Source organism: Homo sapiens, chromosome 8 (genome assembly GCF_000001405.40).
Source record: "Homo sapiens chromosome 8, GRCh38.p14 Primary Assembly".
NCBI lineage: Eukaryota > Metazoa > Chordata > Mammalia > Primates > Hominidae > Homo > Homo sapiens.
The window spans coordinates 101231081-101245261 of record NC_000008.11 but is presented as its reverse complement, the minus strand read 5'-3'; the positions used below and the strand labels follow the sequence as shown (position 1 = coordinate 101245261).

The 14181-nt window shown below is 41.8% G+C and overlaps 1 long non-coding RNA gene across 2 annotated transcripts in view, besides 1 other annotated feature; it reads right to left on the bottom strand.

Moving 5' to 3' along the window:
* LOC107984005 (uncharacterized) overlaps positions 1-14181 on the bottom strand; it is a 79776-nt gene that overhangs the window by 48273 nt on the left and 17322 nt on the right. The gene's annotated exons all lie outside the window — the stretch shown is intronic.
* Positions 1254-1454: a silencer, noted in NCBI's record as "peak7131 fragment used in MPRA reporter construct". NCBI's record gives its function as "represses an SCP1 promoter by STARR-seq MPRAs in K562 erythroleukemia cells {active_cell/tissue: K562}" and the evidence as "EXISTENCE:reporter gene assay evidence [ECO:0000049][PMID:32103011]".

Here is a 14181-nt window from a genome sequence, read left to right as displayed (position 1 = left end):
AAATAAGATAACAAAAGCAGCACTTCTGGTTCATTAACTGATGGTGAGAGTAAGATGGATTAACAAGCAGGAAGCCGTAGAGACAAAGCAGTTAGAAAGCTGCTGGAATGCACTCATCAGTGATTGGAACACCAGCCAGAAAACCAAGTTATCTATTTGAAAATGGAAGAAAACTATGTTAATCAAGACCAGTTTGGGTAGAGCTTGTAATATTCATACTTTTTCTCTCAAAATTTTTTTTTTTTTGAGACATAGTCTCACTCTGTCACCCAGGCTGGAGTGCAGTGGCAAAATATCGGCTCACTGCAACCTCCGCTTCCAAGGTTCAAGAGACTTTCCTACCTCAGCTTCCCAAGTAGCTGGGACTACAGGTGTGAGCCACCACGCACAGCTAATTTTTTATTTTTAGTAGAGACGGGGTTTCACCATGTTGGTCAGGCTGGTCTCGAATTCCTGACCTCGACTGATCCACCCGCCTCGGCCTCCCAAAGTGCTGGGATTATAGGAGTGAGCCACCGCGCCTGGCCTCCCTCAAGTATTTACTGAATGTGTGCTATATGTTGGGACTGCAACAATGACCAAAATAGACAGGTTTCTTTCACCATGGGGTTTACCTTCTAGCTAGGTGTTTCTAAAAAGGGAACATTTAAGCTGAGCCCCCCCAAATTTACAAGGAGATAGCCCTACTGAAATGAGGTAGTTCCAAGCAGAGGTAATGGCATACATAAATAACTGGCATTGGAAAGTATGTGGTTTTCTGTAAGTGCAATCAAAAGTCCAGTGGGCTAGAGTGTAGAGAATGAGGAGAAGGGTGAACCTAATGAGGCAAGGAAGATAAACAGATACCAGCCCATGCAGCAGAGCTTTTCTGGCCACAGTAAAAAGTCTAGATTTCATTCTAAGGGTAACTAGAAATCACTGAAAGGTGGTGTGCCTTCACAATGGTAACCCCAGTGTTGAAGGGCAAGAGTGGAAGTGGGAAGACTAGTTAGAGCCTTGCTACTCAGTGTGTTCCACAGAGCAGCAGCTTCAGAATCACATGGGAGCTTGTCACAAATGCAGAATCTTGAGCCCTTCCACAAACCTAGAATCAGAATCTTAATTTTAACAAGATCCTCAGGTGACTCATTTGCACATTTAAATCTGAGAAGCACTAAGTTGGAAGACGCTGCTAGCTTGGCCAAAGGTAGTAGCTGAGGAGAAGGAAACGTAGAGGGAATTCATGTCTTAAAGACAGTCACAGGCATGAGGACTTGGGTTGGAATTAAAAGCAGGTATCAGAGGGCCAGTGTTTAAGACACATGGAGACAGTGGCTGAATGCAGGCATGGAACACTAGTTTCCAGTGTCAAGAGATTATTTCAAGCAGAAGTCCAGGACCCTGGAGAGCTCCCATAAAGCAAGGGTTGTATGAAGATGAAAATCTAACAATCTACAGAGAGGCCAGGCGTGGTGGCTCACGCCTGTAATCCCAGCACTTTGGGAGGCCAAGGCGGGTGGATCACCTGCGGTCAGGAGTTCGAGACCAGCCTGACCAACATGGGGAAACCCCGTCTCTACTAAAATACAAAACTTAGCTGGGCGTGGTGACATGCACTGTAATCTCAGCTACTCGGAGGGCTGAGGCAGGAGAATTGCTTTAACCCAGGAGGCAGAGGTTGCAGTGAGCCGAGATCATGCCATTGCACTCCAGCCTGGGCAACAAGAGCAAAACTCCGTCAAAAATAAATAAATAAATAAATAAAAAAGAAAGAAAGAAAGGAAAAGAAAAAAGAAAAAAAAGAAAACGAATCTACAGAAGAGAGATGCCACTTAGCCTCAAACACTTAAAGTCATCCTTCTGGGAAAGCTCTGATGATCACTAGATTAAGTTCTATGGTTCCTATGAATCATCTTCATTACTCAAAGAGTTTTCTGTTCCACACGATAGAATGGCCATGATGTCTGCTATGATTTGCATACTCTAGTGAAATTATAATCCTAAGGAGGTCAGAAAGCAAAGATGAGGTGGAGGTGAGAGGGAGGCACCTTTCTTGATACCATTTGCTTTGTCTCCTGGAACAGGGGCTGAAGTTGGATCCAGGTTCAGGAATTCAACTCCAAACAGAAACTGTGAAAGAATTAACTAAAGTAAAATTCTGAAAGTGAAAAAGTGTCAGATTTAGGGGGTATTGTGAAGAAAAAATATAGCTTGGTGAAGGATGGGGGGAGGGAGAGAGTGGAGTACCAGAACCCCTAATTGCTGCCAGGGTCCTCCTGTTGCTGTCATCTCTCCTGCCTAGGGTTGTGAGTAGCAAATACAGAAATTCCATTAAAAGTCCCCTGACCCTATGAGATACCAACCATGTCACTCCCACTAAAATGATTAAAACGAAAGACATGTGTAAGTGAAAATGTGAAACAATTAGAACTTCATACATTGTTGGTGAGAATGTAAAATTGTACAACCATTATGGAAAAGTTTTGAGAGTCTTTTATGAAGTTAAACATACACCTACCATATGACCCAGTAATTCTACTCCTAGGCAAAACAAATCCCCATGAAGAGACTTGGCCAGGCACAGTGGCTCATGCCTGTAATCCCAGAACTTTGGAAGGCCAAAGTGGGTGGATCACCTGAGGTCAGGAGTTCAAGACCAGCCCGGCCAACATGGTGAAACCGTGTCTCTACTGAAAATACAAAAAATTATCTGGGCTTGGTAGCAGGTGCCTGTAGTCCCAGCTCCTCAGGAGGCTGAGACAGGAGGATCACATGAACCCAGGAGGCGGAGGTTGCAGTGAGCTGAGGTCACGTCACTGCACTCCAGCCTGGGTGATAAGAGCAAGACTCTCAAAAAAAAAAAAAAAGACTTTTACAAGTCTCTTTATAGCAGCTTTATTCACAGAAGACAAAACTAGAAACAACTCAAATGTTTCTCAACAAGAAAATAGATAAATTGTGGTGTATTTGTATAGTAGGATATGCTCAGTAATAAAAAAGAACAAGCACATATGCATGACACAAGGATAAATCTCAAAAAGATTATGGATAAACAAACTGTGGTCTATTCACATAATGAAATGTTATTCAGCAATTTAAAATTAGTGAACAATGGATACATGTAACAACAAGGATAAATCTCAAAAACAAGAACTCAGATACAAAAAAATAGAAAACTAAGAGTATGTATCATATGATTGCATTTATAAGAAATTCTAGACAAGCCAAAAATAATCTGTGTTAATGGAAGGCTAGGATATTATTGCCTGTTGTCTGGGGCAGGAGCTGAAAGAAAGAAGAGAGAAGGTAACCTCCTGGAGTGACAGAAATGTTCTACATTTCAATTGAGGAGGTGATTACTTAGGTGTTTACATTTGAAAGAACTAATCCAATGCACAACTACAATCTATGAGTATTATTAGATATAAATTTTCCTTCAATATAAATAAAATTTTAATTACAACAATAAGAAAATCCCTTCAGTCTTTGCCTCATTCCAAGGGTACAGTCCATATCTGCTGGGTTGTTTCACCCTAGAAAAATCTGTGAGAGGCCGGGTGCAGTGGCTCACACTTTGGGAGGCCAAGATGGGAGGATTGCTTGAGCCCAGGAGTTTGAGACCAGCCTGGGCAACATAGTGAGACTCTGTCTCTACAAAAAATATTTAAAAATTAGCCAGGCATGGTGCATGCACTTGTAGTCCCAGCTGCTTGAGAGGCGGAGGTGGGAGGATTGCTTAAGCCCAGGAAGTCAAGGCTGCAGTGAGCCATGATCACACCACTGCACTCCAGCTTGGCAAAAGAGCAAGATCCTGTCTCATGAAAGAAAGAAAGCAAGAATCTGTGAGGGATATTCAATAATCCTTCAGATGTGGAAAGAATGTGGCATAGCGACTGGCAGTTTGCCCAAGTGGTTGGTGCAAACCTTGAAGCAGTTGGGTTTAGCAAAAGCTTTCATGCAAGCTTAAAACAATGCCAGTAACGTGTGACTGTGAAATTGTAACATCCCCGCTGGAGCCTGTGTCACTGGAAATCTCATTTAGAGTGAGCTCGCATCTCCTTCTAAGCCACAGAGCCTGATGAATTGCTCAGCTGCTCTTTCAAGCAGTTCCAGTTTCAATGGCAACTGGGGAAGGAAAAACCCCAGGTTTTTAGTGTTGTGAAAAAACAGTCCAGTATAAAAGAACCTAAAAGAGGAGCCAGTGAACAAGACTATAGAATAATGAGGCCACATGCTCTGAGTTTGCTCCTCTTTTTTCCCATTGCTAGTTTAGTCCCAGTTCTAGTTGAGCTTTGTAACAACTCCCTCCCAAGGAGGTTACTTCAACCAACATGTTGTAAGTATTTACTGTGACCCAGGTATCGTGCCGTGTCGATGCAATGCAGATAAAACACAGATCCTGATCCTTGGGAAAGTTAAACTAGTGGATATTAGGCTGCTGTCACATCCATTATGTAACTTGATCCTTACAACCTCTCTGTAAGGTAAGTAAAGCAGGAATAGTTACAACTCCCATTTCACAAATGAGGAAACTGAGACTCAAGAGAAATTAAATGAGTTGCCCAAGGCCACATAGCAGGTAGTAAAGCTGAGATTTGAATTCAGGTATTCTTATGCTAGGTCCTCTGTTCTTTCCAATTCATGATGAAAGTGTATATAAAATAGGTACGATTCTTTCTCCACTATAAATTCATGAAAGCCTTGGATCTGAAGAATGTTGGGAACTCGTAAGCACAGAGCTAATGGAAAGGGAAAAGAATCAGGACAGGCTCAGTCTAGCCCTCAGGAAGGCACCTAGGCTATCACTTCTATACTGTCTGAATGGATATGCAGATTACTGGCCTGGCTCAGACAAGTGGTCCATATCCACAGGGATGTAAGCAGATGAACAGATGATGAATGTTAACCAGGCGTCTTAGTCCATTTGGTGCTGCTATAGCAGAATACCACAGACTAGGTAATTCAATAAGAACAGAAATTTGTTTCCCACAGTTCTGGAGGCTATAAGTTCAAGATCAAGGTGCTGGCATCCGGTGAGGATCTTCTTACTGCATCCTGACATGACAGCAGATGGAAGGGCAAGTGAAAGATGGACAAGCACTGTGTCTTTACATGGCAGAAGAGCAGAAGAAGGCAAATACACTCCTGCAAGTCCTTTTTATAGCAGCATTAATCCATTCATGAGGGCCCCATTATCTAACTTCCCATTAGGCCCCACCTCCCAACATTGTCACATTGGAGATTAAGTTTCTGACACATTAATTTGGGGGGACAGTCAGCCCATAGCACTGGGGAAAGCTAGTCAAGTTAATTAATTCCATTCATTATTCATCAACAATGTCATTCAAAGGTCTCAGATCTATAGGTGAGAGGCACAGGAAGCACAGCATGGCAGGGAGAGCTTCGGTGTCCCAGCAAGAGAGGACTCACAGTAGGTTTCTACGTCTCTATCAGAGTTCTTGGTGGAAAGCAACAGAATCAGACTGTAGCTCCCTTGAGCAAAAAATACTTTTTTAAGGATACAGGTGGCTCCCAAATCTAAGAAAAAGTTGAGGGACCAGACCTCAGAAGGGGCAGGAATCAGGGCAATTCTCAGGATTCAGGTAGCAAGAATAAGTGAAAAATCTCTTCCCAGTGTCAATTTCAACAGTTTTCTATGCTTTTTTATTTTCACCCAAGATCAATTTCCAGTGGAGGAGACAGCCTGATTGCCTGAGCTTGAGCCATCTGCCTCCACTTTGGCAGGTGATGGAGATGCACCTTGAATAATAGAACCCTGAAAACTGTGTGCACGGAAACCATAGTAATGAACTTTTTATGTTGTTACATTAATATGTATTGATCTGTCTTGCACTTTGAATTAATCTTTTATACGTGCATAATTTTGTAAAGTCAAACATTGGTCATTTGGAAAATACTGGTTCACTGAATTATGCAGATCTTCCAAATATTGACACTTTCATTATATAATGTCAAAACAATCATGTTCACTAATATTGCCACTGATATCAGAAAAATCTAAATATTCAGAAGCTGTTAATAAAATATGGAAATCTATCAAGCTCACAATAGTGGATACACATTTTCCAAAATTCTAATTTTGCTCAAAAGCTTGAACTTTATCCCTGGCGTCAAATACTGTCAATTGGTTTCCCCAAAGAGGCTCCCTTTGTCCAAGTTTGAAATAATGTCTATAAATACTTATGTCTAAATAAACATAGTTTGTCAATCATCCTTTCAAGTAAAAAAATGAGCTAATTTAGCTTGCAGACCAGACAATCACATAAGTGCTTTCTTTTGAGATAACAATCATACTTCAACATGTAACAGAAGGTTACTTGTATTTTTTCATATAGAATATTTTTAAAAAGTATACTCAAAGGTCAAAGGTTAATTAAATTTAAAATATTGACTTTTTCTTCAAGGGCATCAAGTGAAACTAGCTTTTTCTCTTTTTCTGCAAGTGCATGATGGAATACAAAAATACAACTACTATTACTATCTTGTATATAGTGTGTGGCACCAGCAGTTTTACCCACCAGTGGTTTTGTAGCATTGGTGCAAATGTTACCTACAGTGAAAAGGACAAATAACACTTTAGTATTCTTTTAAAAACAGTTTTGATCTCACAGAATTAATGAAAGGGTCTAGGAAACCTTCAAGGGTTTATAGATGACATTCTGAGAACAGCAGGCTTAAAGTAATTAGGATCTAGAGCCTAGGGTGGGGTTACTTTACCCTGAATCATGTGGGGAAAAAAGCGAATACCGAAACAAAACTAGGATTATTTCAGGAAAAAATAAGGAGTAATAGATTTTGGTAGGCAACCAGTAGTGTCCACTACATATGGGCACAATATAAGGAACCATAGCATAGTTTATGTGGTTAGCTGCCATGGACTAACCAATAGGTATAAACACCTTCCTAAGTATCACCAAGACAACCGATGCCCACATGCGAAATAATGAAGTCAGACCCCCAACTCACACTACATACAAAAATTAACTCAAACTAGATCAAAGGCCTAAATGCAAGAACTAAAACTATAAAACTATCAGAAGAAAATATAGTAGCACGTTTTCAGGACCTTGGATTTGGCAATGATTTTTTAGTTAGGACATCAAAAACACAAGTAACAAAAGAAAAAATAAATAAGTGGGACTTCATCAAAATAAAAAACTTTCCTATATCAAGGGATACTAACAAGTAAGTGAAAAAACAGCCCCTCAAAATGGGAGAAACATATGTAAATCATATATCTGATAAGGATCTAGAATGCTGAATATACAAAAAACTCCTACAACTCAACAACAAAAAAGACAAATAATCCAATGGAAAAAATAAGCAAAATACCTGTATAGACACAATACAAATGGTCAGCAAAGAACATGAAAAGATACCCATCATCCTTAGTCACTGGAAAAATGAAAATCCAAACCTCAATGAGATGCCACTTCACACCCACTGGAGCATGCTTTCTATAGTCCCATCCGGGCTTGCTATAATAAAAAATTTAAAAAAAAACAGAAATTACAAGTGTTGGTGAGGATGTAGGAAAATTGGAATCCTCATATATTGTTGGTGGGAATGTAAAATGGTTCAGCTGCTTTAGAAAATAGTTAGGCAGTTCCTCAAAAAGTTAAATGTTGAATTACCATAAGACCCAACAATTCCACTTCTAGGTATGTAACCAAAAGAATTGAAAACACATGTTTAAAAAAAACTTGTATATATGTTTTCACCATAGAAATATTTACAGTAGCCAAAAGGTGGAAACAACTCAAATGTCCATCAATGGATGAATGGATAAATATAATGCAGTATATCCATACAATAGAATATTAGTCAGTCACAAAAGGAATGAAGTACTGAACCATACCACAGCATACTGAACTTTGAAAACATTATGCTAAATGAAACAAGCCAGACACAATGGGACACATATTGTATGAAATGTCCAGGATAGGCAAATCCATAGAGGCAGAAGGTGGATTAGTGGTTGTCATAGACTGGAGAAGGGGTAAGGGAGTGACTGCTTCATGGGTAGAGCATTTCCGTTTGAGATGATATTCTTCTCCAACTAGATAGTGGTGATGGTTGTACATTGTGAGTGTACTAAAGGCCACTGAACTGTACTCTTTAAAATGGTTTAAATGGTGAGTTTTGTGTTGTGTGATTTTTTTTTACCATAATTAAAAACAAAAAGCTGCATGACAGCAAGTGAGGCCTGGGGATGTTTTGGCAGATGAATTATGACAATGATGAAAGTCCAAGATCTGCAACTATTTTAAAAAGTAACCATCACACAATGCACTAGGTTCAAACCATAACAGGCAAGTGATATCCTGACAGAGAGACAATAATTATACTTAATTCAACTGACAAAGCTGTGAGACTTAACTGGCATGGATGTCTTGTGGCAATTCACAAATATATAATTGAATAAATAAGCAAATATACCTCCCTGGAAAAAGTGACAGAGTGAATCAAAGTACATTTGGCTCTAAATGTGACACTTGAAACAGACCTTGAAAATATTCTCATTTTATTTTAGAGATATTCTCATTCTCATTTTAGAGACTTACGAAGAACAGTTACGACTTGCTTAAGGTTCCATAGCTAGTTAGTAGGAGAACTTGACCCAAAAGAACCAATGTCCCACCTCTTTCCACCACATGATGTTCATAGTCAGGGCAATTCCATATGCACCTCTCAGAACAGTTGTCATCTGAATGTTTGTGAAGCCAAGGATGACTACATTTTCCCCGAGTATCCTCTGGGCTGCTAGACTACATGTGCACAGAGAAACCTGCCATCTACGTGTCCTACCCATGTGCTCTAAATCTTGGCTTGTGCCACCACCCAAGTTAGAGAGCTGGCTCCTCTACTTCACCCCCTCCTGTTCCAGAAACCAGTCACCAAAACTTCCAGTTGTGACTTTGGAACATCTAGCAGATTTGGACTCTTTCCCATTCTCATCAAGATTCCCTCACCTTTTATTTGGACTATTTTATACCACTCTTAACTGCCCACAGTTATCCACAGGTGAATACAACACTGACTCAAGAGACACGTGACTCTGAGGTGGAACTTAGTTCCAATCACTAGGACACCTACTATTGCTATCGATAGAATAAAATCTGGGTACTGTAGTATTCCCTTCCCTGGGTACAGTTCCAGACTAACAGTGACTACGTTTAAAAGACTCTGACCTTAACAGTGGCAACTGTGACAAAGTCTTGGTACTTTGTTCCTTCAGATGCACAGAGAGCAACTTTGACTTAGTATCACAAACAATACGGGATTATTTGGTTTCCTTGGTAACCTGCGGTTCTGCCCTAGGTGACAATCAAAGACTGTGGAGGTGCCAATTTTTTTCTAGATCTAAAAATTCTCATTCTATGAATATCTGGGGTTGTAGACAGCCTACTAAAGGGAGACTGGTACAAAAGTAAAGCTATTAAACTTTAAGATATGGGAGCAGAGGCAAAGCTGGCTGCCTGGGAGGCAATCTGGTGCAATTCAGGAGAAGAAAGATTGTTTCTTCCATGGGCAGAATGTGCTATCAGAAGCGTCCAACAGCAATCCTAAATTATCATTATCAGAAGTTTAAGTTATGTTCCAGCCCATCCTATTAATAAAAGCAGAGTAGTGCTTTTTTGTTTTACAAAATGGCTACAACCTATACATATCAATAATTAAATTGTGATTTTTTTTTTGAAAATGTTCTTATATTCTCTGATAATAGATGATGAGCTATTACTGTATTGTACTATTAGGAGCACCAGTTTTAAGCACAGACATTCATACTAGAGAGCAGAGGTTAGTGTCTGATTAATCCAGCAGCTTCTGGAGGGACAGGGAGAGAAATAAGAAAATCTTCAAATGGAACCTGAAGCCCCGAGAAGCTGCCATGTCATAGCTGGTCCTTCATGCAGGAACAGAGTGCACAGTCAATTGTGACCAATATTCTTGAGCAAGATAGGCTAAGGGTGGCTACTTTCTTTTAGGTAAGATGTGTACAGTTTTGCACTGAGGGAATATCAATGACCTCCACCAACTCCTTGCTTACAGTCCCCTTTGTTTACTGTTCCCATCAGTTTCTCTCTCTCTTGTAAGGAGTAAAGATCTTGCTAAGTTGCCCAGGCTGGAGTGCAGTGGTGTGATCATAGCTCACTGCAGCTTTGAACTCCTGGGCTCAAGCCTCAACTTCCAAAGTAGCTAGGGCTTCAGGTATGTGCCACCACACCTGGCTAGTTTTTGTTGTTGTTTTCTTGTAGAGATATGTTGCTGAGGATGGTCTTGAACTCATGGCCTCAAGCGATCATCCCACCTCGGCCTCCCAAAGCATTAAGATTACAGGAGGGAACCTGTCACATCTGGCCAGTTTCTCTTGATACAAATGTCTCCATAAAGAGTTTGGGAGAAACTTGTCAATTGGTGTCAAAAACACACCAAAAGACACTGTCAGTGGATCTCACCATGGGCCCTGGGGTAGTAACAAAAGAGATCAAGACATTTTCCATTGTTATTGGCTGAGCCTTGTCTACAGAGGCCTGGCCCCACAGAGCATCATTTGGGTCTCCAGAGGGCCTCATAAAGAGCAAGCCTTTGGCCAGGCACGGTGGCTCATGCCTGTAACCCCAGCACTTTGGGAGGCCGAGGTGGGCAGAGTGCCTGAAGTCAGGAGTTCGAGACCAGTCTGGGTAACATGGTGAAACCCAGTCTCTACTAAAAATACAAAAAAAAAAAAAAAAAAGACAGCCGTGGTGTCATGTGCCTATAATCCCAGCTGCTCAGGATTAGGCTGAGGCAGGGGAATTGCTTGAACCAGGGAGATGGAGGTTGCAGTGAGCCAAGATCGCACCACTGCACTCCAGCCTGGGCAACAAGCGAGACTCCATCTCAAAAAAAACCAAAAAAACAAACAAACAAAATAACAGACTAAAAAAAGAGCAAGCCTTCCTGCTCTGGACAGAAGAGGTGGCAGATAGCTAACCAAAATCTACCTTTGCTGCTGCTAAATGCTGGGTTAGAGAACACAGATCAGAGTAATCGCTCAAATGGGTCTGCTTACTGCAGTCTAAGGTTAGCCACCACCCAGGGGAAGGTGAAGTCTGCAAAGCAAACACTTCCAGGTGGCAGCCTTTTGCTAGTCCAAATAAAAAACGAAAAAAGACAAGACCAAATCCTACCCCATTCACACAGAGGTGCTGTGGGAGACACACTCTATGCAATAAACAAGCAGGGACAATGACTATTCCCACCATCTTAGGGCTCGCACCTCCTTGGTCGTAGAGGAAGCGGTGGGGTGAGAGGCAGCTGTATTTAGGGAAATCCTTTATAGCACTATCTGGCTTAGAGAGGAGAGGCAGCCCCATGTTTGTCTAACTCTAAAACAAACAATGGTTATAAAACCTTATTAAACCTTGCTGGGTTAGAAAATAGAAATATCTCAAATATTGATCCCCTGCCTGTCAAGCTTTGAGTTCTAAAGGCTGTTCACTTGCAAGATCTGCTTTGCCAAGACCCCGAGGCTGAAAATCCTGCAGGGGTGCCAGGAACAACAGGTGGCTTCCACACCTGGAGTGTAGTGTGTGCCTGGGGACAGGGTGGCTGCCCCTCCTCCACCCCCAGTGTCTGTGGGAGCCTTGAGCTGCTGGCATTCTATTAAACACCACTCGGATGTGCCAGGGACAAAGGTCTTCTGCCCAGAGCCTCGGTGCTTGTCCCTATTCCAGCTCCTTCTAGGGGAGGATCTGGCCCTCAACCTCTTCCCAGTTGGCTGGAGGTTCTCTCCCCTTGGCCTGGTTCCTGCCAGCTCTTTTCCTGTCTAGATTTTACCTCCCCTTCATTGGCTGGATACTCCTTGGATACACGCAAGGCCCTGAGAACCACTGTCACCACACTTTCCTCCTCTCTCCCTTCCTCCTTGGATCAGATATTGAAACCAGGCTTCTCCCCTTGAGTGCTGCTGACATTTTGCCCATTGAGGCAAAGAGAACTGGCAGGAAATGGCATTTCTGCTCTCTGCAGACACTTGCCTGGCATGGCACAACAAGAACCAAGGGTGAAAAGCTTTCAGTCTCCTTGTGTTCTTCACCCTCTTCTCCAGGCCCTCTCCACAGCCTCCCATCTTCAGCGCTTTCCTTCATCTTTCTTGGACTTATGTTTTCCTTCATTCTCTACTATCCACTTTTCTTCCTCTTCCTCTTTCTATTTCTGCTTTTTCTTCTGCCTTTTGTATCCCCCTCCACCTCTACTTTCTCCCCCATATGTAGTTATAATTTGATGGTCTACACTTGTAATATAGCCCCTAAAAACCTCTCTGCAGATGCAACTTCCACCTCAAACTCTCCCTTCCAACACTTTAGGTAGAATGGCCACTGTATGTCATTCCCTGACTCAAGACCCTGCACTGACTCCCTGGGGCCCACAGAATAGAGGCCAAACTCCAAGACGACAGACAAAGCCCTTCATCGTGTGGCTTCTGCCTGCTTTTTTCTCTTTTACTCAATTGTGTATTGGTTCAGCAAACAAATGAATTTGTTTACTGAGTGCTTTCCATGAGAATATACTATACCAGCAGTTGCATATAAAATTAATAAGGTATGACTTTTAAAAATTTACAGGTGAAATGATATGATGTCTGGGATTTTCTTCAAAATAACCCACAGAGTGGGAGAAGAGGAGTTGGTGCAATGGGAGAGGCACAGACAAAACAAGACTGACCATAGGTGATAATTATTGAAGCTGGGTGATGGGTATGATGGAGTCATTATATTATTCTCTTTATTGCAGTATATGGTTGAAAATTGTTGTTGAAAAAATGATAGGTGAATAACAGGCGAACAGAACAGACATGTCTCTGGATTTTCTTTTCTCACAGTTCTCCATGAATATTAAGCCTTTCAGGGCCTCAAGTAATCCAAGGTTTGCACCTCCAGGCATTTCCATGCTTCTTCTGCTTGGAACTCTATTTCCTCCATCCTTTCCTAATTGCCACATCTGGTGCCTACTCAACCTCTAAGTCCAGCTCAAACAAATAGCACTTTCTCTGGGAAGCTTTTTAAGACCCCTCCAAATCAAGGGAGGAACCCCTGCCCTATGCCCCCACAGCACCTTGTCATAACACTGCTATGGTTTGTTGTAATTGCCTGTTTAATTGTCTGTTTCTCCCACCAGGCTACAAGCTCTCAGTGCACAGGGATTGCTTTTGTCCTGCTCCCTATTTTATCCCCAGAGCCTGACACACGGTAGCAGCTCAGTAAATATCTGCTGCATGGTTGAATAAAATGAACTGTGAGGTCTCTAGCAGAGCAGCTGGCACAAACTTGGCCTTGTTGTATGGTCTGGCGTGGTACGTGTGAGGAAGGGGTGGAACTCTTGGCACTGGCTGAGTGCAAACAGATGTCACTGCCTGCTCCTCTGCCACTGTCAGGCATTTCCACCCTGGGCCAGCACCTTCAGGGCTAAGTCCACTTAGTGCAGAATCCTAGAACTTTCCTGGACATAGAAATGTTGATGCTCACTTTGTAAAATCCAAGCTAATGGCCTGGTAATACTTTTCTTGTCTTTTCAGTGAAGTACAAAGTGATCTACTTGCAAATGACCAGAGTTAAGAGTGGCATTTATTCAAAAATTTTCTCAATAATACACCACCTGCATCCTTCTATATAATTATAGATAATTATAAACTATATGAAATAGCATGGTTTATTATTTAACAGGAGTGTAAAGTATGGCATCAAATGCCATACCTCCTCCTAGTTTGCTGACATGCATGGCTGGTCATATACGTGCTTCTCAGAGAGAGGCCTTTCCAGACCATTCTGCCTATAATAGTGTACCCTCTACCCCCATCCAGTCTTGCTCTCTCCTGTCCAATTTGTTTTTTTTTGTTTTTTTTTTTTTGAGACAGAGTTTTGCTCTGTTGCCAGGCTGGAGTGCAGTGGTGGGATCTCAGCTCACTGCAATATAAAATTAACATGGAATGACTTTTAAAAATTTACAGATGAAATGATATGATTTCCCAGGTTCAACCGATTCTCCTGCCTCAGCCTCCCAAGTAACTGGGACTACAGGCGTGCACCACCAGGCCCAGCTAATTTTTGTATTTTTGGTAGAGAAGGGGTTTCACCATGTTGGCCTGAATGGTCTTGAATGAATGGTCTTGATCTCTTGACCTCGTGATCCACCCGC